At 47.1% G+C, this 22,031-nt stretch overlaps 1 protein-coding gene and 1 pseudogene across 6 annotated transcripts in view, besides 5 other annotated features; one reads left to right on the top strand and one right to left on the bottom strand.

The window, feature by feature from the left end:
• Window positions 5,724–5,940: a silencer, noted in NCBI's record as "fragment chr1:16686958-16687174 (GRCh37/hg19 assembly coordinates)". NCBI's record gives its function as "represses an EF-1alpha promoter that drives an FKBP-Casp9 reporter gene in an ReSE screen in K562 erythroleukemia cells {active_cell/tissue: K562}" and the evidence as "EXISTENCE:reporter gene assay evidence [ECO:0000049][PMID:32094911]".
• Window positions 8,720–8,769: an enhancer, noted in NCBI's record as "active region_261". NCBI's record gives its function as "activates an Ori minimal core promoter by ATAC-STARR-seq in GM12878 lymphoblastoid cells {active_cell/tissue: GM12878}" and the evidence as "EXISTENCE:reporter gene assay evidence [ECO:0000049][PMID:35858748]".
• Window positions 8,840–8,989: an enhancer, noted in NCBI's record as "active region_262". NCBI's record gives its function as "activates an Ori minimal core promoter by ATAC-STARR-seq in GM12878 lymphoblastoid cells {active_cell/tissue: GM12878}" and the evidence as "EXISTENCE:reporter gene assay evidence [ECO:0000049][PMID:35858748]".
• Window positions 12,200–12,259: an enhancer, noted in NCBI's record as "active region_263". NCBI's record gives its function as "activates an Ori minimal core promoter by ATAC-STARR-seq in GM12878 lymphoblastoid cells {active_cell/tissue: GM12878}" and the evidence as "EXISTENCE:reporter gene assay evidence [ECO:0000049][PMID:35858748]".
• SZRD1 (SUZ RNA binding domain containing 1) overlaps window positions 12,503–22,031 on the top strand; it is a 30,904-nt gene continuing 21,375 nt past the window's right edge. For all 6 annotated transcript variants that reach the window (NR_073501.2, NR_073502.2, NR_073503.2 and 3 more), the window contains exon 1: window positions 12,503–12,569. Coding sequence is in view for 2 of the 6 variants with exons in the window: in NM_001114600.3 (NP_001108072.1) it covers window positions 12,519–12,569 (51 nt within the window). In the remaining 4 variants the exon portion in view is untranslated. The remainder of the gene's footprint in view (window positions 12,570–22,031) is intronic.
• Window positions 13,010–13,299: an enhancer, noted in NCBI's record as "active region_264". NCBI's record gives its function as "activates an Ori minimal core promoter by ATAC-STARR-seq in GM12878 lymphoblastoid cells {active_cell/tissue: GM12878}" and the evidence as "EXISTENCE:reporter gene assay evidence [ECO:0000049][PMID:35858748]".
• RPL22P3 (ribosomal protein L22 pseudogene 3) lies at window positions 14,354–14,812 on the bottom strand (annotated as a pseudogene).

Genomic DNA, 22,031 nt, shown 5'->3' on the forward strand with positions numbered 1-22,031 from the left:
TCATATTTGGCTTAGAATAAATCTCTTCAAATATTTTACAAAGTTTCCTCCTAGGAAATCTCATGGGGCATAGGGCTGGGCCAGAAGCCAAGTTCCCCTCAAGTTGGAGGGCAAGGCCTCTTTGAGCAGACTTGGGTCACCCTTACCCATAGAGAGCTGTATGAGCCAGAGGCGGTGGTGCATACTTGTCAGCCCAGCACTTTGGGAAGCCAAGAGGGGAGGATCGCTTGAGCTCAGGAATGCAAAACCATCCTGGGCACCATAGCAAGACCCCATCCCTACAAAAAGTTGAAAAATTAGCTGGACATGGTGGCATGTGTACCTGTAGTTCTAGCTACTTGGGAGACAGAGGCAGAGGGTTGCTTGAGCTCAGGAGTTGGAGGTTGCAGTGAGCTATCATCACCTCACTGCACGCCAGCCTGGGTGATAGAGGGAACCCATCTCAAATAAATAAATAGAAAGCAGTATATTCTTACGTTCTTCAAACCTGAATAATGCAAAGTCCCCTAGGGATACACTCAGGGAATCCCAGTGGGAGAAACATTGATTTAAGAAAATCATGTTTTGGCCAGGCGCGGCGGCTCACGCCTATAATCCCAGCACTTTGGGAGGACGAGGCAGGCGGATCACCTGAGGTCGGGAGTTCGAGACCAGCCTGACCAACATTGAGAAACCCTATCACTACTAAAAAAAAAAATACAAAATTAACCAGGCGTGGTGGCACATGCCTGTAATCCCAGCTACTCGGGAGGCTAAGGCAGGAGAATTGCTTGAACCCGGGAGGTGGAGGTTGTGGTGAGCCGAGATCGCATCATTGCACTCCAGCCTGGGCAACAAGAGCGATACTCCCTCTCAAAAAAAAAAAAAGAAAGAAAAGAAAAGATAAAGAAAATCAAGTCTTTCAACTAGGAAATTTTACTGCAAAAGAGAAATTGGGCAATTATAACTGGTAAAGGAAATATTTTTAAATCTGGTTTTTAAATCTAGTTTTTAAATCATGTCATTAAAAACCTCAAGCTTAAAAATTACTAGAACTGAGCCGGGTACGGTGGCTCACACCTGTAATCTTAGCACTTTGGGAGGCCGAGGCAGGCAGATTGTCTGAGCTCAGGAGTTCGAGACCACCATGGGAACAACATGCTGAAACCCTGTCTCTACTAAAGTACAAAAAATTAGCCAGGCTTGGTGGTACACACCTGTAATCCCAGCTACTCGGGAGGTGGAGGCAGGAGAATTGCTTGAACCCAGGAGGTGAAGGTTGCAGTGAGCTGAGATTGTGCCACTGCACTCCAGCCTGGGCCACGGAGCGAGACTGTCTCAAAAAAAAAAAAAAAAAATTACTAGAACTTGTGACCAACTCCACTCTTCCCCCTCCAAATATCCTGTAGAGCTCAATATTGGAAACACTGGACCAGCTATTAAATGCTACTTTTTTTTTTTTTTTGAGGAAGGAAGTTTCCAACCGGGCTCAATCAATTCTTCCACCTCAGCCTCCAGAGTAGCTTGCATAGTCCCAGATACTTGGGAGGCTGAGGTAGGAGGATTGATTGAGCCAGGGTGTTTGAGGTTGCAGTGAGCTATAATCACTCCACTCCAGCCTGGTGTGACAGAGCGAGACTCTGTCTCAAAAAAAAAGTAAAAGTAACAAAAAAAAGTAAAAAAAAAATCCTAGCACTTTCGTAGGCCAAGACAGGTGGATCACTTGAGGTCAGGCGTTCAAGACCAGCCTGGCCAACATGGTAAGACCCCGTCTCTACTAAAAATACAAAAATTAGCCAGGAATGGTGGCATGTGCCTGTAATCCCAGCTACTCGGGAGGCTGAGGCACAAGAATCACTTGAAACTGGAAGGTGGAGGTTGCAGTGAGCTGAGATCATGCCACTGCACTCCAGCGTGGGTGACAGAGTGAGACTCTGTCTCCAAAAAAAAAAAAATAAGTAAAAGTAAAAATGCAGGTTCCATGGCCAGTTGCAGTGTTGCACGCTGGTAATCCCAACCCTTTCAGTGGCTGACATGGGAGGCTGACTTGAGGCCAGGAGTTGAGATCAACCTGAGCGAGATAGCAAGACCCCATCTCTACAAAAATAAATTAAAATGCAGGTTCCAGGGCCCACCTCAAACAATGGCCTCAGACTTTTCTGAAAGCTCCTCAGGGATTCTGTTGAGCAGTCAGGGTTGGAACTGCTGGACCATGTTAGAATACGTTCAAATACAGAATCACTTCACCCTGAATCTTCTTACTCAAGGACAGCAGGGATTTTTGTCTGTTTTCCACCAGCACCTGACATAGAGATGCACATAGTAGGGACTCACTAAATATTTGTTGAATGAATGAACTTGGAATTTGGCAACTAAGAGGGCATTTGGGAAACAAATATTTAGTGAGCACCTACTATGTGCCAGACCATGTGATACGTATGGTCATATATATATACAATATTAATATATATATTTATAAATATATACAAATTTTTTTTTTTTGAGACGGAGTCTCACTGTGTCTCCCAGGCTGGAGTGCAGTGGCATGATCTCGGCTCACTGCAAGCTCCGCCTCTGGGGTTCACGCCATTCTCCTGCCTCAGCCTCCCGAGTAGCTGGGACTACAGGTGCCTGCCACCACGCCCAGCTAATTTTTTGTATTTTTAGTAGAGACATGGTTTAACCGTGTTAGCCAGGATGGTCTCGATCTCCTGACCTCATGATCCACCCACCTTGGCCTCCCAAAGTGCTGGGATTACAGGCATGAGCCACTGCACCTGGCCATAATTTTTTTTTTTTTTTTTTTGAGGCAGAGTCTTGCTTCTGTTGCCTAGGCTAGAGTGCAGTGGCACAATCTCTGCTCACTGCAACCTCCGCTTCCTGGGTTCAAGTGATTCTCGTGCCTCAGCCTCTTGCGTAGCTGGAATTACTGGTGCGTGCCACCATACCCAGCTAATTTTTGTATTTTTAGTAGAGATGGGGTTTTGCCATGTTGCCCTGGCTGGTCTTGAACTCCTGACCTCAGGTGATCCACCCACTTCGGCCTCTCAAAGTGCTGGGATTACAGGCATGAGCCACTGTGCCCGGCCATGGTCATATATATTTTTTAATGAAACATAAGGTCTCTGCCCTTGTGGAGGGCCCTACTATCTACTGAGAGAGATAACCAATACACAAAGACTGTAGACAAGATAGAAGTATAAATTGTGATAAGGACAAAAGTATTAAACTCTAATAATAATCACAATTGCTATTTATTGTTTACATTTATTATGTACCGAACTCTGCTAAGTAGGCGTCATTATTGTGCCTATTTTAAAGATGACGAAACTGAGCTACATAGTGGCTGGAATATCGGGGGAAGACTGGAGATTACATTATAGGTCATGAAGAACTGGGAACGGGGAGGTTATACTCTATAATTAAAATGGTTTTTCAGAATAGTCTCTCTGCAGTGTGAAGGCTGATTGGGACATGATTAAAGACAGGGGATAAGGCTAGAATGAAAGGGGTGGTTGGAGTCTCTCTAATACGTTTAAATAAGGTACTTTCCTCCAGAGTCTGTCCCAATAATCAATCACAGTCACGCACCACATAACAGTGGTCAATGGCAAACCACATGTACAATGGTGGTCACATAAGATTATAATACCATATTTTTACCGTACCTTTTCTATCTATATGTTTTGTTTTGTTTTTCTCAAGACAGAGTCTTGCTCTGTCGCCATGCTGGAGTGCTATGGCGTGATCTCGGCTCACTGCAACCTCCCCCTCCCGGGTTCAAGCGATTCTCCTGCCTCAGCCTCCCAAGTAGCTGGGATTACAGGTGTGTGCCACCACGCCCAGCTAATTTTTTGTATTTTTTGGTTTTTTATTTTATTTATTTATTTATTTATTTATTTATTTATTTATTTATTTATCTGAGACAGAGTCTTGCCCTATCAGCCAGGCTGGAGTGCAATGGCACAATCTCGGCTCACTGCAACCTCTGCCTCCTGGGTTCAAGCGATTCTACTGCCTTAGCCTCCCAAGTAGCTGGGGTTACAGGCACGCATCACCATGCCCAGCTAATGTTTTGTGTCTTTAGTAGAGACAGGGTTTCACCACGTTGGTCAGGCTGATCTCCAACTTCTGACCTCAGGTGATCCACCCGCCTCAGCCTCCCAAAGTGCTGGGATTACAGGCGTGAGCCACTGCGCCCAGCCAATTACTGTATTTTTAGTAGAGACAGGATTTCTCCATGTTGGCCAGGCTGGTCTTGAACTCCTGACCTCAGGTGATCCGCCCACCTTGCCTTGGCCTCCCAAGGTGCTGAAATTGTGCTGGGATTACAGGTGTGAGCCACTGTGTACAGCCCAGAACATAATTTATTCTTTTGTTTTCTTTTTTTTTTTGAGATGGAGTCTCCCTCTGTCGCCCAGGCTGGAGTGCAGTGGCACAATCTCGGCTCACTGCAAGCTCCACCTCCTGGGTTCATGCCATTCTCCTGCCTCAGCCTCCTGAGGGACTACAGGTGCGTGCCACCACGACTGGCTGTTTTTGTATTTTGAGTAGAGATGGGGTTTCACCATGTTAGCCAGGATGGTCTCGATCTCCTGACCTCGTGATCCGCCCGCCTCAGCCTCCCAAAGTGCTAGGATTACAGACATGAGCCACCACGCCCGGCCCAATTTATTGTTTTTTTGAGACAGAGTCTCGCTCTGTCTTTCAGGCTGGAGTGCAGTGGCATGATCTCGGCTCACTGCAACCTCAGCCTCCCAGGTTCCGGCCATTCTCCTACCTCAGCCTCCAAGTAGCTGGGATTTACAGGTATGCGCCACCACGCCTGGCTAATTTTTGTATTTTTAGTAGAGACAGGGTTTCACGGCGTTGGCCAGGCTGGTCTCGAACTCTTGACATCAGGTGATCTGCCTGCCTCGGCCTCCCAGAGTGGTGGGATTAAAGGCATGAGCCACCACACCTGGCCAGAACATAGTTTATTCTTAAAGGGTTGGGGTGCATGACTTAACCCTTGCTTGGTATGACCTTATGTCCTGTTTATAATTGGCATCTTGGTCGCACGCGGTGGCTCACGTCTGTAATCCCAGCATTTTGGGAGGTTGAGGCAGGAGGATCACTAGCTCAGGAGTTTGAGACCAGCATGGCCAACATGGTGAAACCCCATCTCTACTCAAAATACAAAAATTAGCCGGGCGTGGTGTTGCCAGCCTGTAATCCCAACTACTCAGGAGGCTGAGGCAGGAGCATCTCTTGAACCTGGGAAGTGGAGGTTGCAGTGAGCCGAGATCGAGCCACTGCACTCCAGCCTGGGCAACAGAGAGAGACTGTGTCTCAAAAAAAAAAAAAAAAAAGCATCTTATTACCACAAAGCATTTGTTGTGTCAGTCTTATGATCTCTATTTTAGCATTAATGCTGGTCAATTGTTGTGTCTAAACTGTGAAAGGGATAGGGTATAACCAAGTGTGTCTGACTTCCTGTTCCATCATGGCTTCTCTGGGGTCCCCTGTACCAAAAGGGTGTCCATTTAGTCCGTTGGAAGGTTTAGGATTTTATTTTTAGTTCTCATGTGAGATCACTCAGTATCAGTGCATTTAGGACAATATAAATGTTATTAACAGTTGCATTCTATTCTTTTATAGGAATGTACCATAGTCTTTTAAAACAAATTCTCTAGCGATGAACATTTAATTTGTTTCCAGTCTTTTTTGATTATAGACAAAATAGCAATGGATATCCTTAGGTATGCACATTTTCTTTTTGTTTGTTTGTTTGTTTGTTTTGAGACTGAGTCTGGCTCTATCACCCGGGCTGGAGTTCAGTGGCATGATCTCGGCTCACTGCAACCTCTGTCTCCAGGCTTTATGCGATTCTCCTGCCTCGGCCTCCTGTGTACCTGGGATTACAGGTGCGTGCCACCACGCCCAGCTAATTTTTGTATTTTTATTTTTATTTATTTATTTATTTTTGAGATGGTGTTTCGCTCTTGTTGCCCAGGCTGGAGTGCAATGGAGCGATCTTGGCTCACTGCAACCTCCATCTCCAGGGTTCAAGCAATTCTCCTGCCCCAGCCTCCCGAGTAGCTGGGGTTACAGGCGCCTGCTGCCACGCCCAGCTAATTTTATGTATTTTTAGTAGAGATAGGGTTTCACTATGTTGGCCAGGCTGGTCACCAACTCCTGGCCTCAGGCAATCCACCCGCCTTGGCCTCCCAAAGTGCTGGGATTACAGGCATGAGCCACCGTGCCCGGCCTTATTTTTATTTTTTTATTTTTTATTTTTTTTATTTTTATTTTTTGAGATGGAGTCTGTTACCCAGGCTAGCGCAGTGGCTTTATCTTGGCTCACTGCAACCTCCACCTGCCAGGTTCAAGCAGTTCTCCTGCCTCAGCCTCCTGAGTAGCTGGGATTACAGGTGCGCATCACCATGCCCGGCTAACTTTTTGTATTTTTAGTAGAGATGAGGTTTCACCATGCTGGCCAGGCTGATCTTGAACTCCTGACCTCATGATCTGCCTGCCTCAGCCTTCCAAAGTGCTGGGATTACAGACATGAGCCACTGCACCAGACCTAATTTTTGTATTTTTAGTAGGGGTGGGATTTCACCATGTTGGCCAGGCTGGTCTCGAACTCTTGACCTCAGGTGATCCACCTGCCTTGGCCTCCCAAAGTGCCGGGATTACAGGTGTGAGCCACCATGCCCAGCCTGCACATTTTCAATATTGGTAAGTTGCCATTTACTCATCACAACTATCTACCTAGCTTCAGCTTGTGCGTCAGATAGAAAGTTATCTCGGCCGGGCGAGGTGGCTCACGCCTGTAATCCCAGCACTTTGGGAGGCCGAGGCGGGCAGATCACCTGAGGTCGGGAGTTCGAGACCAGCCTGACCAACATGGAGAAACTCCATTTCTACTAAAAATACAAAATTAGCCGGGTATGGTGGCGCATGCCTGTAATCCCAGCTACTCGGGAGGCTGAGGCAGGAGAATCGCTTGAACCCGCGAGGCGGAGGTTGTGGTGAGCTGAGATCATGCCATTGCACTCCAACCTGGGCAACAAGAGCGAAAATTTGTCAAAAAAAAAAAAAAAAAAAAAAAAGCTGGGCGCAGTGGCTCATGGCTGTAATCCTAGCACTTTGGGAGGCTGACGCGGGCAGATCACAAGGTCAGGACTTTGAGACCAGCCTGGCCAATATGGTGAAATCCCGTCTTTACTAAAAATACAAAAATTAGCCAGGCGTGGTGGCACGTGCCTGTAGTCCCAGCTACTCAGGAGGCTGAGGCAGAAGAATTGCTTGAACCTGGGAGGCAGAGGTTGCAGTGAGCTGAGATCACGCCATTGCACTCCAGCGTGGGCAACAGAGCAAGACAAGACACCGTCTCAAAAAAAAAAAAAAAAAAAAAGTGGACTCTCTGTCTCAGGAAAAAAAAAAGTCACCTGAGGTCAGGAGTTTGAGACCAGCCTGGCCAAGATGGAGAAACTGTCTCCACTAATAATACAATACACCGGGCTGGGCACGGTGGCTCAAACCTGTAATCCCAGCACTTCGGGAGGCCGAGGCGGGTGGATCACCTGAGGTTAGGAATTTGAGACCAGCCTGGCCAGCATGGTGATACCCGGTCTCTACTAAAAATACAAAAATTAGCCAGGCTTGGTGGCAGGCGCCTGTAATCCTAGCTACTTGGGAAGCTGAGGCAGGAGAATCGCTTGAACCCGGGAGGCAGAGCTTGTGGTGAGCCGAGATCACACCATTGCACTCCAGCCTGGGCAACAAAGCAAGATTCTGTCAAAAAAAAAAAATTAGCTGGGTATGGTGGCCCAGGCCTCTAATCTCAGCTACTCAGAAGGCTGAGGCAGGAGAATCGCTTGAATCCGGAGGATACAGTGAGCCAAGATCACGCCATTGCACTCCAACCTGGGTGACAAGAGAGAATCTCCATCTCCAAAAAAAAAAAAAAAATGCAAAAACTTAGCTGGGTGTGGTGGCACACACCTATAGTCCCAGCTACTCAGTACTCAGGAGGCTGAAGCAGGAGGGTCACTTGTGCTTGGAAGGTGGAGGTTGCAGTGAGCCATGATTGTGCCACTGTACTCCAGCCTGGTGACCGAGTGAGAGCAGAAAGAGTGAGAGAGAGAGAGAAAGACTCATGCTTTAGGGCCTCTGACAATACCTGTGTATTGTGTGCCTCAACTTTTTTTTTTTTTTTGAGACAAAGTCTCACCCTATCGGCCAGGGTGGAGTGCAATGGCATGATCTCAGCTCACTGCAACCTCCGCCTCCCAGGTTCAAGCGATTCTCCTGCCTCAGCCTCCCTAGTAGCTGAGACTACAGGCGCGTGCCATCACGCCCAGCTAATTTTTGAATTTTTAGTAGAGAAGGGGTTTCACCACGTTCAGGATGGTCTTGATCTTTTGACCTCATCTTCCACCTGCCTCGGCCTCTCAAAGTGCTGGGATTACAGGCGTGAGTCACGGTGCCAGGCCGCCACTGCCTCAACTTTTTGGGCTTATCCCTGGAAGAAGAAACTGCCACTACTTTTTCAATTTTAGAGCTAATTTGGTTCCATCCCTGATTTTACAGATGAGGAATCAGACTGAGAGAGAAGAGACTTGCCCAAGGTCACAAGGGGTCTATGTGATTAACTAAGACTGACCTCCTGGTTACCCATTTTGTGGAACAAAAACTATTTCATTTGCAGCATTTTCAGATGATTTCCAAGGTCTCCATCTTTCTTGTCTCCTTGAAAATGCAGTCCCAGAAATGCACAACTAATGCTTTTGTTAAGGGTCGTTGCCCAATATGCTAAATTGTAAGAAACCATCTCCCTCTGCTGGTAATATGGCATAACGACAAAGCTTAAATATAGGAGTCACTTGCATTTAGGAAAAACTATTGCTCCAGAACGAGGTTATGTCTGACAGTTTCTGTATACTTTTTTTTTTTTTAGACGGACTCTTGCTCTGTCGCCCAGGCTGGAGTGCAGTGGTGCGATCTCGGCTCACTGCAAGCTCTGCCTCCCAGGTTCACACCATTCTCCTGCCTCAGCCTCCCGAGTAGCTGGGACTACAGGCGCCCACCACCACACACGGCTAATTTTTTTTTTTTTTTGTATTTTTAGTAGAGACGGGGTTTCACCGTGTTAGCCAGGATGGTCTCAATCTCCTGACCTCGTGATCTGCCCGCCTTGGCCTCCCAAAGTGCTGGGATTTACAGGCGTGAGCCACCGCGCCCAGCCCCGTCTGACAGTTTCAACCACTTTGCTGTTGCCAAGACTCAGTCAGGATAATTTACTTCAACGAATGGGTTCACAGTAGAATGTATTCCAAGTAAATATAATCTCACAGAGTGAATAAGCCAAAAATCCATGAAATTGGTGAACTCAACAGAATTACTGAGTTTTTGTGTGGTTTTTTTTTTTGGTTTTTGTTTGTTTGTTTGTTTTTTGAGATGGAATCTCACTGTCACCCAGGCTGGAGTGCAGTGGCATGATCTCGGCTCACTGGAACCTCCACCTCCCGGGTTCAAGCGATTCTCCTGCCTCTGCCTCCTGAGTAGCTGGGATTACAGGCATGCGCCACCACGCCTGGCTAATTTTTGTATTTTTAGTAGAGACGGGGTTTCACCATGTTGGTCGGGCTGGTCTACGAACTCCTGACCTCGTGATCCGCCTGCCTTGGCCTCCCAAAGTGCTGGGATTACAGGCGTGAGCCACTGCGCTCGGCCGAGAATTACTTGAGTTTTAGAGACTTAAAAGCTGCTAGTGGAATATCCATGTGGAGATGGCAATAAGAAGCCTAGCTGTAAAAATCAGAATCAGAAACACCAGGTCAGTTCACAGCTAGAAGTCAACTTTGGCAGTCTTCAGCATACAGTGGGTGGCTTATACCATGAACATCTAGGTAAGAACAGTGGACTGAGGACAGACCCTGGAAATGAACAATATTTCAGAGTCAGGAAGTTGTGAAACCAGAGAATTAGTAAGCATATCACTTAAGCTTCTAAATAAAGACCAGTAACATTTAACACATGGTTGCAGTTTATGATGATAATCATTAAGAATACAAATAACAGGACGGGCAGAGTGGTTCACACCTGTAATCCCAACACTTTGGGAGATTGAGGCAGGCAGATCATCTGAGGTTAGGGGTTCCAGACCAGTCTGGCCAACATGGTGAAACCTGGCCTCTACTAAAAATACAAAAATTAGCTGGGCATAGTGGCAAGCACCTATAGTCTCAGCTACTCGGGAGGCTGAGGCAGGAGAATCACATGAACCCAGGAGGCAGAGGCTGCAATGAGCCAAGATTGCGCCACTGCACTCCAGCCTGGGCGACAGTGAGACTATGTCTAAAAAAAAAAAAAAAAGAATACAAATTATGAAATTTCACAGCAGGAAGGTTTTACTTCAGAAAGATTAATGGCATACTAAAAATACAAGAAAAAACACATTCCAAGTCAGATAACTTGGTTATAGCAGCCAAATGCAACACTACTGAATGACATGTATTTAAAACTGAGAGAAAAACAGGAACATGTCAGTAAGAATATAAACACATGGTGTTTGCTTATCTCCCTGCCTTTTTTTTTTTTTTTGAGACAGAGTCTCGCTTTGTTGCCCAGGCTGGAGTGCAATGGCGCAATCTTGGCTCACTGCAACCTCTGCCTCCTGGGTTCAAGCAACTCTCCTGCCTCAGCTTCCCAAGTAGCTGGGATTACAGGTGCTTGCCACCACATCCGGCTAATTTTTGTATCTTTAGTAGAGATGGGGTTTCACCATGTTGACCAGGCTAGTCTTGAACTCCTGACCTCAACTGATTCGCCCACCTCAGCCTCCCACAGTGTTGGGATTATAGGCGTGAGCCACCGCGCCTGGCATCTCCCTGTCCTTATATTTTAAGAAAGGATGATTACAGAAGTGACAATTATAAATCTTCCTCGGGCAGACAAGACACTCCCATAATGATAATAGCTAACCCTTAGGACTCTTACTATGGGTCAGGCACTGTTCTAGGCATTTCAGCATAGTAACTGGTTAAATTCTTACAATCTACTTTTGAAGTAGCTATCTCTAATGTATACACTTGGGGAACTGAGACATAGAATCCTTATGTAACTTGCGTTAAGATCACACAGCTTTTTTTTTTTTTTTTAGTAGAGATGGGCTTTTGCCTCGTTGCCCAGGCTGGTCTCAAACTGCAGGGCTCAAGCGATCCCCCCGCCTCACCCTTCCAAAGTGCTGGGATTATAGGCGTGAGCCACCATGCCCGGCCACATAAATAACTTTTTTTTGAGATAGAGTTTTGCTCTTGTTGTCCAGGCTGGAGTGCAATGGCGCAATCTTGGCTCACTGCAACCTCCGCCTCCCAGGCTCAAGCGATCTTCCCGCCTCAGCCTCCCGAGTAGGTGGGATTACAGGCATGTGCCACCATGCCCAGCTAATTTTGCATTTTAAGTAGAGACGGGGTTTCTCCGTGTTGGTCAGGCTGGTCTCGAACTCTTGACCTCAGGTGATCTGCCCACCTTGGCCTCCCAAAGTGGGATTACAGGTGTGAGCCACTACGCCTGCCCTGACATAAATAATTTTTTTTTTTTTTGAGACAGAGCCTCACTCTGTCGGCCAGGCTGGAGTGCAGTGGCATGATCTCGGCTCACTGCAACCTCCACCTCCCTGGCTCAAGCAGTTCTCCTGCCTCAGCCTCCGGAGTAGCTGGGATTATAGGCGTGTGCCACCATGCCCAGCTAATTTTTGTATTTGTAGTAGAGACGGGGTTTCACCATGTTGGCCAGGCTGGTCTTGAACTCCTGACCTCAGGTAATCCGCCTGTCTCGGCCTCCCAAAGTGCTGGGATTACAGGCGTGAGCCACCGCGCCTGGCCAGTAATTTTTAGAGGTAATACTAACGTATTTATCTACCATTAAAGACCCAGGAGAACTTAGTAGCTGGGAATCCCACTGGTTCTCCCAACTGAGGTGCAATATTATCTTTACCGTCTTTACCTTACGGTAGCGGATATAGTGTTAATAAATGATTAGAATACTGCTTTATGAGCAGGAAATACTGTAATGATTTTCACCCTATCAGAAATAATAAAATGTTTTCTGCATCAGCAGATATTTTTCATCATTTGTTGGTGTTTAAAAATGTTTTCAGAATTCTGAAGATACCATTATCTGTAGTTTAGGAAAACTACGACTCACTTTAAAAGAAAAAAAGTTTTCTTTAATTGCCTGCCCTTAGAAAAGATGGTTCCACAGAACACACTTCCGGTACTCGAGATGAGGACTTCCCTTGAACGCCCATTCTGTAAGACAGATAACGCGTTGGCCCTTAAGAAAGATGGCATCTTTCCGCCTTCTCTGCCCCCTTCCAAGATGGCTGCCCTAATGTACACTTGGGACCTTGCCTGGCGCCTCTTCCGGGCTTGGCAGCGGGCGGGGTCCATTGAGTAAAGCCTTGCGTGCCTGCGCCCGCGACGGAGGCGCGCTTCAAAGCGCAGGCGCGGGGAGGGGGTGGGGGAGGAGGGAAAGCGGCGAGTAAGATGGAAGATGAGGAGGTCGCTGAGAGCTGGGAAGAGGCGGCAGACAGCGGGGTAAGGAGGAGCCGCCGTCCCATGGCAGGGCCGGGCGAGACCTGGCGTGAGGGGAGCCTCCGGGGAGCGGGTCTGGAGATAGTTCTCCCCAAGGAAGGGCCCCATACGCCGGGCTGGGGGTGGTGGAGAGGCCCCCAGTTCCTGAGCGCCGTGAAGGCCTCTTAAAGGGGCCGCGATCCATTTCTCTCCTTTCCTTTGCCTGGTGCGCCTCCCTCCGCCCACTAACGCGCGCGTCACCCGGGGCGCCCCACCCGCCACCCGGGGCCTCCTTTCCTGACCCCCCGCGCCCACTTGCTGGCCGTGGGCCTCTGTGACTCTTTCCGATGAGCCTTGTGGCCCGAGGCACCATTTTAAAGTTCTTGTGCTCTGACCGGGACGGACACACCATGTGGGTGGTGGTGGGGCTTGCGCGGACCAAGGAGGCATGTCCGGCTTCGCAGGAAAGCGGGAGGAGGCAGCCGAGGGCGGGGGGAAATTGAATCCTCTTTGGGCTACTCAACTCTGCTAAAATCCCCCACCATCCGTCACGGTGGACGAGTCGGGTTTTTTTTCTCTTTCACTTTTACTCCAAGAAGAGTTTGTGGGCAGGCAGGCAGGTCTCACGGGGACTCTGCCAAAGCAACCGAAAGCTCTGCGGGGCAGCTCCTCTGCCACTCAGCGATCCGAGGCCCCGGGAAGGTCTAGGAGTTCGCTTGTCGGAGTCCAGGGTGTGATATGTAAAACAGCCACATTCTTGGGAGAGGAGTGGGGAGATGGACCGTTCGACTTGTTTTTGGAGTTTTTGTTTGCCTCCAGAAACTGTAGGAAAATAGTTTATCTCAAAGAGGATCTGTCAATTCTCTTAGATTTGTGAATAATTTGGTCTTTTCAGAGTTTGTCTGTGGTGACCCTTGTGAATATGGGGAGATGCTTTTTTTGTCTCCCCGTGTTCGCGTCTGTTCAATGCTGGCTGCACTGACATCCACCTTAAAGGTTTACGTGTGCGAGGAGTCGAGCGTACCAGGGTAGAGTAGGCGCTGGGTTTTTTTTCCTAAGCGCTTTTTGGGGGTGCTTATGAGCTCTGGAAGAGGCCGGGAAATTGACCCTGGCAGCAGTCAGTGGGTGTATCTAGCTCTACGGGAATGTTGAAACTTGGCTTTGAAGTTTTTTCCGCTGGTTCAGCATTTCTCTCAACGGTTGTTTATGTTTTTCCATTTAGCATAATTGAGAATTTGAAGGATTCGTTCGTTCAGAGGATATTTAGTAGAGTTCTTAATGTGACAACCATCTTTCTTGAGTTTTGGCTTAAGAAAGTTAAAGATTTTATAGGGAGTAACAGGTGTCAGTTGGCTCCTTGTTCATTCAACCAGCATTTTTGAGTGTCTGCTATATGCTAGGCAGTGTGCTTATCAGTGACTTTGTGCCAGAAAATGCAACATTTTCGGTACAGGCGTTTATTGCCTACCACTAATCTGAGTGAATCATCCAGACATCCCTATAAAAAAGCTTGGCTTACAACTTTAATATCATGCAAATGATACGTTTCTTGGGCATCTTGGCCTTTCTTTGGTTTTCCTCACCTGTTTCAAAGGGTCATAAATCCCTCATGTTAGAGAAGTTGGAGGCAAATGAACAAAAATGAATAGGATTCAGCAGAAATTGGGGCTTACTTTAGTTTTTCAGAATGGGTAAGTCAATTAGAAATAGCTAGTACAGTCCCCCATTTAACAGCTGAATAAGCCTAGAGATGTGAGATTTAGAGACTTAGGTCTTTCTGACGCTTGTCGCGTGTTCTTTCTTTTTTCTTTTGGTTCCCAAGTTTTATTGAAAAACTTATACAAAATATTCCAGATAAATGAAATTTAATCCTCATCTTCCTCCTCTTTGTCCTGGTTAATCTGGAAGTAACATAATTTGTAGCTATCTTTGCTGTTAGTAACTAGGAGCAACCAATCACGTAAATTATTCTTCATATATGTTTTGGTGAGATATTTGAAATACCTTTTGGAGAAAGGCACCTCGGATGTCACGTTGATCTTGCTCTTACTCCTTTCAATGGTCGCCATCCCTCCACCAAGGTTCTCAGCTTTTCCGTTCACTTTGATCCTTTCTTGCAAAAACTGCTCAAAATTGGCAGCATCCATGATTCCATCTTCTACGGGGTGAGTGCATTCAAGAGTGAACTTCAGAACCTGCTTCTTTTTTTTGCCCCCCTTCACCACAGGCTTTTTCACAGAAGCCATGGCAGCAGCGGAGGCAGAAAGCCAGAGTTCTTTCTGCTATCCCTTACTTTAGTAATATCCTTTAAAAATGTACCGCGGCCAGGTGCTGTGGCTCACGCCTGTAATCCCAGCACTGTGGGAGGCTGAGGTGGGTGGATAACCTGAGGTTAGGAGTTCCAGACCAGCCTGGCCAACATGGTGAAACCCCATCTCTACTAAAAATACAAAAATTAGCTGGACCCTATGGTACATACCTGTAATCCTAGCTACTTGGGAGGCTGAGCCAGGAGAATTGCTTGAACCTAGGAGGCGGAGGTTGCAGTGAGCCGAGATCATGCCATTGCACTCCAGCCTGGGCAACAAGAGTGAAACTCCATCAAAAAAAAAAACAAAAAAAAAAAACTACAGAGGTGGAACACAAACCTTGCCTTATTGACATCATGAACACTTCTGCCAAAATGCAGGTTCTCTAATATATTTTATTTAATTGAATCCTTGAAACAACCTGTTGAGGCATTGTCCCCCTTTTATAGACAAGGAAACGGAGGTTTCGAGAGTAACCTGTTTTGCGCAAGATCACACAGCTGGGGGAAGCTGGGATTTGATCCCAAGCATGTCTGACTTCAAGGCTGGGCTTTTTTTCTCTAGCATTTTGCTGCTACCTCTCTACCTGGGGACATGTGGAAAATTTGGGAATTGGGTGTTCTTTCTTTTCCTTTTTTTTTTTTTTGTTTGAGAGAAGGTCTTACTCCATTGCCCAGGCTGGAGTGCAGTGGCTCAATCTCATCTCACTGCAACCTCTACCTCCCAGGTTCAAGCGATTCTCGTGCCTCAGCCTCCCGAGTAGCTGGGATTACAAGGCGCATGCTACCACGCCCAGCTAATTTTTGTATTTTTAGTAGAGACGGGGTTTCACCATGTTGGCCACGCTGATCTCGAACTCCTGGCCTCAAGTGATCCTCCTGCCTTAGGCTCCCAAAGTGCTGGGATTACAGGCATGAGCCGCTGCACCTGGCCTTTTTTTTTTTAATTTTTTTTTTATTTTTTGAGATGAGATTGCCCAGGCTGGGCCTCCCAGTAGATTATAGGCATGTGCCACTATGCCTGGCAGCTTTCATTAAAAAAAAAAATATTTATTTATTTTAGATACAGGGTCTCATTTGGTTTCCCAGGCTGAAGTGCAGTGGCATAATCATAGCTTACTGCAACCTTGAATTCTTGGGCTCTAGCAGTCCTCCTGCCTCAGCCTCCCAGAGTTCTGGGATTATAGGCATGAGCCACTGCCCTCAGCCAGCTTTCATTTTTAATAGTTTGTCTGGGCTTATATTTGAACGCTGTCTTGAATTTGATTCCCTTTTCAAATTTCACAAAGGTTCTTGTAAATATGCACTTTTGAAAGAGGGGAGCCAGGGAGATGTTATGTCCACATCACTGGGAAACCAATGGACTGCAGGCTATACATGTCTTTCATATATAGGCAATTGCGTAAAAGTCTTGGCTTCAGGTTATCCCCTCTTCCTACTGGTAATGAGCTTTGAATACCCTACTCCAAAACAGCAAAAACTGGGTGAAGACTAATAACCTAAATGGGAAAATTGAAACTACACAAAAATCCAGCGGCAGTTCTAATCCTTGGAAGTAAAGGATTTTGGAGATCCCTGCCCTCCAACACCACAAGAAAATTTTTGTCTTTTTTCTTTGAGACAGGGTCTTGCTCTGTTGCCCAGGCTGGGGTGCAGTGGGGAACACTCACTGCAGTCTCAGGCAATTTCTGTCTCAGGCAATCTCCACCCGCCTCAGCCTCCCAAGGTGCTGGGATTACAGGCATGAGCCATCATGCCCAGCCAAAAATTTTTTGACATCATGTAGAATTTCTCCCCTCCCCTCCCCTCCCTCTGCTCCCATCCCTCTGCTCCCCCCTCTCCCTTCCTTTTTTTTCCTTTTTTTTTTTCCCCTTTTTTTTTTTTCCCGAGATGGAGTCTTGCTCTGTCGCCCAGGCTGGAGTGCAGTGGCGCAATCTCGGCTCATTGCAAGCTCCGCCTCCCGGGTTCACACCATTCTCCTGCCTCAGCCTCCCGAGTAGCTGGGACTACAGGCACCCACCACCACGCCTGGCTAATTTTTTGTATTTTTAGTAGAGATGGGGTTTCACTGTGTTAGCCAGGATGGTCTCGATCTCCTGACCTCGTGATCCGCCCGCCTCGGCCTCCCAAAGTGCTGGGATTACAGGCGTGAGCTGCTGCGCCTGGCCCCTTTCTTAAGACAGAAGGGTCTTGCTCTGTTGCCAAGGTTGGAGTGCAGTGGTCGGAATACAGCTCACTGCAGCCTCAGCCTCCTGAGTAGCTGGGCCCACAGGCGTGTACCACTATGTGCCTGGCTAATTTAAAAAGAAAATTTTTTTGTAGAGACAGGGTCTTGCCATATTGCCCAGACTGGAAGAATTTTTGTGTGTGTGAGTCATCTGAGGTCATTGTTTCCTGTATAGCTTCCGAATTCTTAGTATCAAGTCCTATTGTGTCATTTGGAGAAAGACTGACTTTGAGAAGTCCCTCACATATTCTGTGAATAGACTTTTTGCTTTTAGTTAGTATGGCAAACACTTTTTTCTTTTTCTTTTTCTTTTTTTTTTGAGACAGGGTTTCGTCCTATATCCCCAATTGTTTAAGACAATCAATAAAATATGCCAGGCGTGGTGGCTCACGCCTGTAATCCCAACACTTTGGGAGGCTGAGGCGGGCAGATCACCTGAGGTCACGAGTTCAAGACCAGCGTGGCCAACATGGTGAAACCCCGTCTCTATTAAAAATACAAAAATGAGCTTGGCATGGTGGCAGGTGCCTGTAATCCCAGCTACTCCGGAGGCTGAGGCAGGAGAATCTCTTGAACCTGGGAGGCAGAGGTTGCAGTGAGCAGAGATCGCACCACTGCATTCCAGCCTGGGTGACAGAGTGAGACTCTGTCTCAAAAAAAAAGAGTTCATAGTGTTGGTAATGAGCTAACCCAGCTAGGGGAAGGCAGCAGATGATATAAAAATGTAATTGGACCAGTGGTTATTATAAAGCACTGACAACCTCTCTGATTTCCCTGTATCTTGCAAGTTTCCTTTTATTCTTTTTCTCCAGGTCAAGGCATGCAGCTAGTGGGAAGAAAATGCATCTTGAATAAGTTAAAGGATGACTGGTGTTCTGGATTAAGAATTGAAATTTATGTTTACTTTCTACCCCCATGAGCCAGTTATCCAAACATTGCCCCATCAGTGATGCTGGATGGTGTATGAGTCCATAGGAAGGTGTCATTAAACATTAAATAACTATTGCATACCAGGCATGGAGGCCCTGTTTAGTGGGGGAGTCAGACAGGTCCGGCAGCACCTTCAGGAAGAGGCATAAGTGGGGTACCATGGCTGGATCAGAGAAAGTCTTGTAAAGAAGACGATGCCTAAGTTAAGATTTGAAAGATCAGTTGAATTAAGCAGTGGTAAGTCTGGGAGAGGCAGGTAGAGTGTAGGGCCAAAGCAGGCATGGATGAGGAGGCCGAGAGACAAATACACAGCATTGGGAGGGCTACAAGTATTTCCTTCTGGCTGAAGGGGAGAGGGTTGGCAGGGTTGAGTGGAAAGAGATGAGACCACAGAGGTATGTAGGGGCCAGATTGGGAAAGGCTTCCTTGTACTTGGTTCTGGAAGCTTGAACTTTGTCCTGAAAGTGCAAGGAGCTTTGAAGTTTTTTTTTTTTTTTTAAGCAGAAGAGTGATATAGCTAGATTTATTTATTTATGTTTTAAATTTTTTGCCGGACACGATGGCTCATGCCTGTAATGCCAGCACTTTGGGAGGCTGAGGCAGGTGGATCACCTGAGGTCAGGAGTTCGAGACCAGCTTGACCAACATGGAGAAACCCTGTCTCTACTAAAAATACAAAATTAGCCAGGTGTGGTGGTGCCTGCTTGTAATCCCAGCTACTCGGGAGGCCAAGGCAGGAGAATCGCTTGAACCTGGGAGGTGGAGGTTGCGGTGAGCCGAGATTGCACCATTGCACTCCAGCCTGGGCAACAAGAGTGGAACTCCGTCTCAAAAAAAAAAAAAAAACAAAACACGTTTTTTTTTTTTGAGACAGGGTCTCACTCTGTCACCCAGGCTGAGCGCAGTGGTGCAATGATGACTTACTGCTGTCTCGACCTCCCAGGCTCAAGTGATCCTCCCACTTCAGCCTCAACCTCCCGAGTAGCTGGGACTACAGGCATGCGCCACCACACCTGACTATTTTTGATTTTTTTGTAGAGACAGGGTCTCACCATGTTGCCCATGTTGGTCTCGAATGCCTGAACATAAGTGATCCTCCCGTTTCAGCCTCCCGGAGTGCTGGGATTGCAGGCGTGAGCCACCACACCCGGCCCATAGTTAGATTAAATTCAGGAGATCAGAACTTTGATTTTCTTCTCTTTCTTTGGAGAAGAGGCCATTCTCCCCAAAGTGTGACTGCCGCTTCACTCTGGGGTCCCCAATGCTTTGTGTAGCTGCTGTCATTTTGGAACATGTACAACAAAACAACAAAAAAAGGCTATGGGTAGTGGGAAAAAAGAGATCAATTAGTTTGGGGCTATCTGGTGCTGATTTCTTTATGTCTGTCCCTGCAGTAAAAAGAAGGCATTTAAGATTTGTGGTATCACAGAAAGCACAGTTCCAGATACACCATGCCTAAAGGGGCCACCTCTCAGTTGGTGCTAGTCTTTCTGGAAAGGTTGAGCCTTATGGACTGTGATGTCCTCAGAAGGGGCTTTCTGTGAAGCAGTTGGGCAGTTTAGGCATGATTCTGCTGAGCAGTCTGTCCCTGGGACTCTGGAAAAAGGTTGGTTTCACTGTGGCTTCAAAGAAAGGAGGATAATGAGCTTTTCACTAGTAACTTCTCAGCCCTTTTTTCATTGGCTGCATGGGAGGGCCTGTTCCCAGCGTGCTCTGGGTATCAAGAGAGCTGCCATGGTTGCCGTGGGCTAGAAATTCCAGCAATCACAGGCCTTCTTGTTTTTACTTCTATGACAGGAGAGGATTTAGTGCGTCTTTCTAAAACTGTTGGTGCAGTCCTGCAGAGAAAAGTCACAGTTGTCTAGGTCTGATGACTGAAAACATTCCAGGGGCCAGCCCTTTCCAGTTTCCACCTCTCCACTGCTGTTGGCCCCGACAGCTAGCATCAGTTTCTGGCTGTATCAGGTAGCTAGCCTCTACAAGGTGTGTTCTGTCAGGAAAACTACTGACCTGTTGGTTTCCTAGGAGAAGGTTGAGTTTAGCTACTTAAATCTGTGGCCAAAGTATAAAATAAAATAAAAAAATTTTAATGTAGTATCCATAGAGATTTCTCTTCTTGAGTGTTTTTGTTTTGTTTTGTTTTTTTGAGACGGAGTCTAGCTCTGTCGCCGAGGCTGGAGTGCAGTGGCGCAATCTCAGCTCGCTGCAACCTCTGCCTCCCGGGTTCGAGCGATTCTCCTGCCTCAGCCTCCCAAGTAGCTGGGATTACAGGTGCTCGCCACTACACCCAGCCAATTTTTGTATTTTTAGTAGAGATGGGGTTTCACTGTGTTGGCTAGGCCGGTCTCAAACTCGTGACCTCGTGATCCGCCCGCCTCGGCCTCCCAAAATGCTGGGATTACAAGCGTGAGCCACCACGCCTGGCCTTTGAGTGTTTTTCTTAAAACCGTTTGCTCCTACCAAGCATCCTTCTCTTTAACATCTAGCTCTGTGCAGGATATTAAGGTAAAACCATGCCCCACAGAAATTAGCAACAAACCCCAATAGTCTGTATGGAGACAGATAATTTTTTTTTCTTTTTTTTGAGAAGGAGTTTCTCTCTGTCACCCAGGCTAGAGTGCAGTGGCGCAATTTCTGCTCACTGAACCTCTGCCTTCCGGGTTCAAGCAATTCTCATGCCTCACCCTCCCAAGTAGCTGGGACTACAGGCTCATGTCACCATGCCCGACTCATGTTTTGTATTTTAGTAGAGACGGGTTCACCATGTTGCCCAAGCTGGTCTGGAACTCCTGAGCTCAGGCAGTCTGCCCACATCGGCCTCCCAAAGTGTTAGGATTACAGGCGTGAGCCACCGCGCCCGGTCCGAGACAGAGAATCTTGTCCTTGACGGTGAGACATTTCAAAATGCCCATCACAGTAAGCCAGCCCCTCCCCCCAACAAACTCGTTCCCTTATAAAAGGAACACAGGAAATAACAGTCATTCCTTTCTAAAAGGAATAATAAATATGTACAGCTAAAATTGCATTCTTCAGGGGCCATGGCGATTAGATGAGATTGTATAGAAGGAAAGTATGACTTGAGTCTGGAAAGGTCAGGACTGTCACCACTCTTCACTGACCTTGAGAACAATTCCCAGCCCAGCCCTTCCTAGCTTATAAAAACATTTGTGACCTTCCATATGTCAGTAGTGTTTCTGCTATCTAGTTGTTCATCTCACTGGCGAACAAGCGCGCAGCCTGTGGGAAGCTCCCAAGTTCCTCGGGCCCTTTTTGGAAGAGCTTCTAAGATATATGTTGTATGGCTGCCTACAGCCCAGGGGGAGTGCATTTTTACAATCATTAGCAGTGACCTTGTGAGGTGTAGGTGCTATTATTCCTGGTCCGGGGAGGAAATCATGTGGTCGGTCCAGCCCTGGCTGTTAGGCCTGAGCCCACACTCTGAGGGACCTTTTTTGGAGCAATTTGTTTACATTTGCTTCTCACCAGATAATTAACTAGTTAAGTGCTTTAGGATGCTTAGTTACTAGCTCCTTTGAAGCATTTCATTTGTTTTCACCTGGGATTGACCTCCTGCCTCTGTAGCCTGCATGAGCTCATAAACTGCATCTGAGAAATTTGAACTCAGTGCTGAAGAGCCAAGCGATAATCCTGCTCTCAGTTATAATGCTAAGAACAGTGACTACAAGTGAGATGCTGGTCGAAATCTTGATCATAAATGAGAAATAACTTTTTAACATTTGGCCAAGTGGAAAAAGATAACATAAATAATTATTGGGCAGGGCGCATTGGGTCACGCCTGTAATCCCAGCACTTTGGGGGGCCGAGGCAGGCGGATCACTTGAGGTCAGGAGTTCCAGATCAGCCTGGCCAACATGGTGAAACCTTGTCTCTACTGAAAATACAAAAATTAGCCAGGTGTGGTGGCAGGTGCCTGTAACCCAAGCTACCTGGGAGGCTGAGGCAGGAGAATCGCTTGAACTTGGGAGGCAGAGGTTGCAATGAGCTGAGATTGTGTCACTGC

Source organism: Homo sapiens, chromosome 1, assembly GCF_000001405.40.
Source record: "Homo sapiens chromosome 1, GRCh38.p14 Primary Assembly".
NCBI classification, from domain to species: domain Eukaryota; kingdom Metazoa; phylum Chordata; class Mammalia; order Primates; family Hominidae; genus Homo; species Homo sapiens.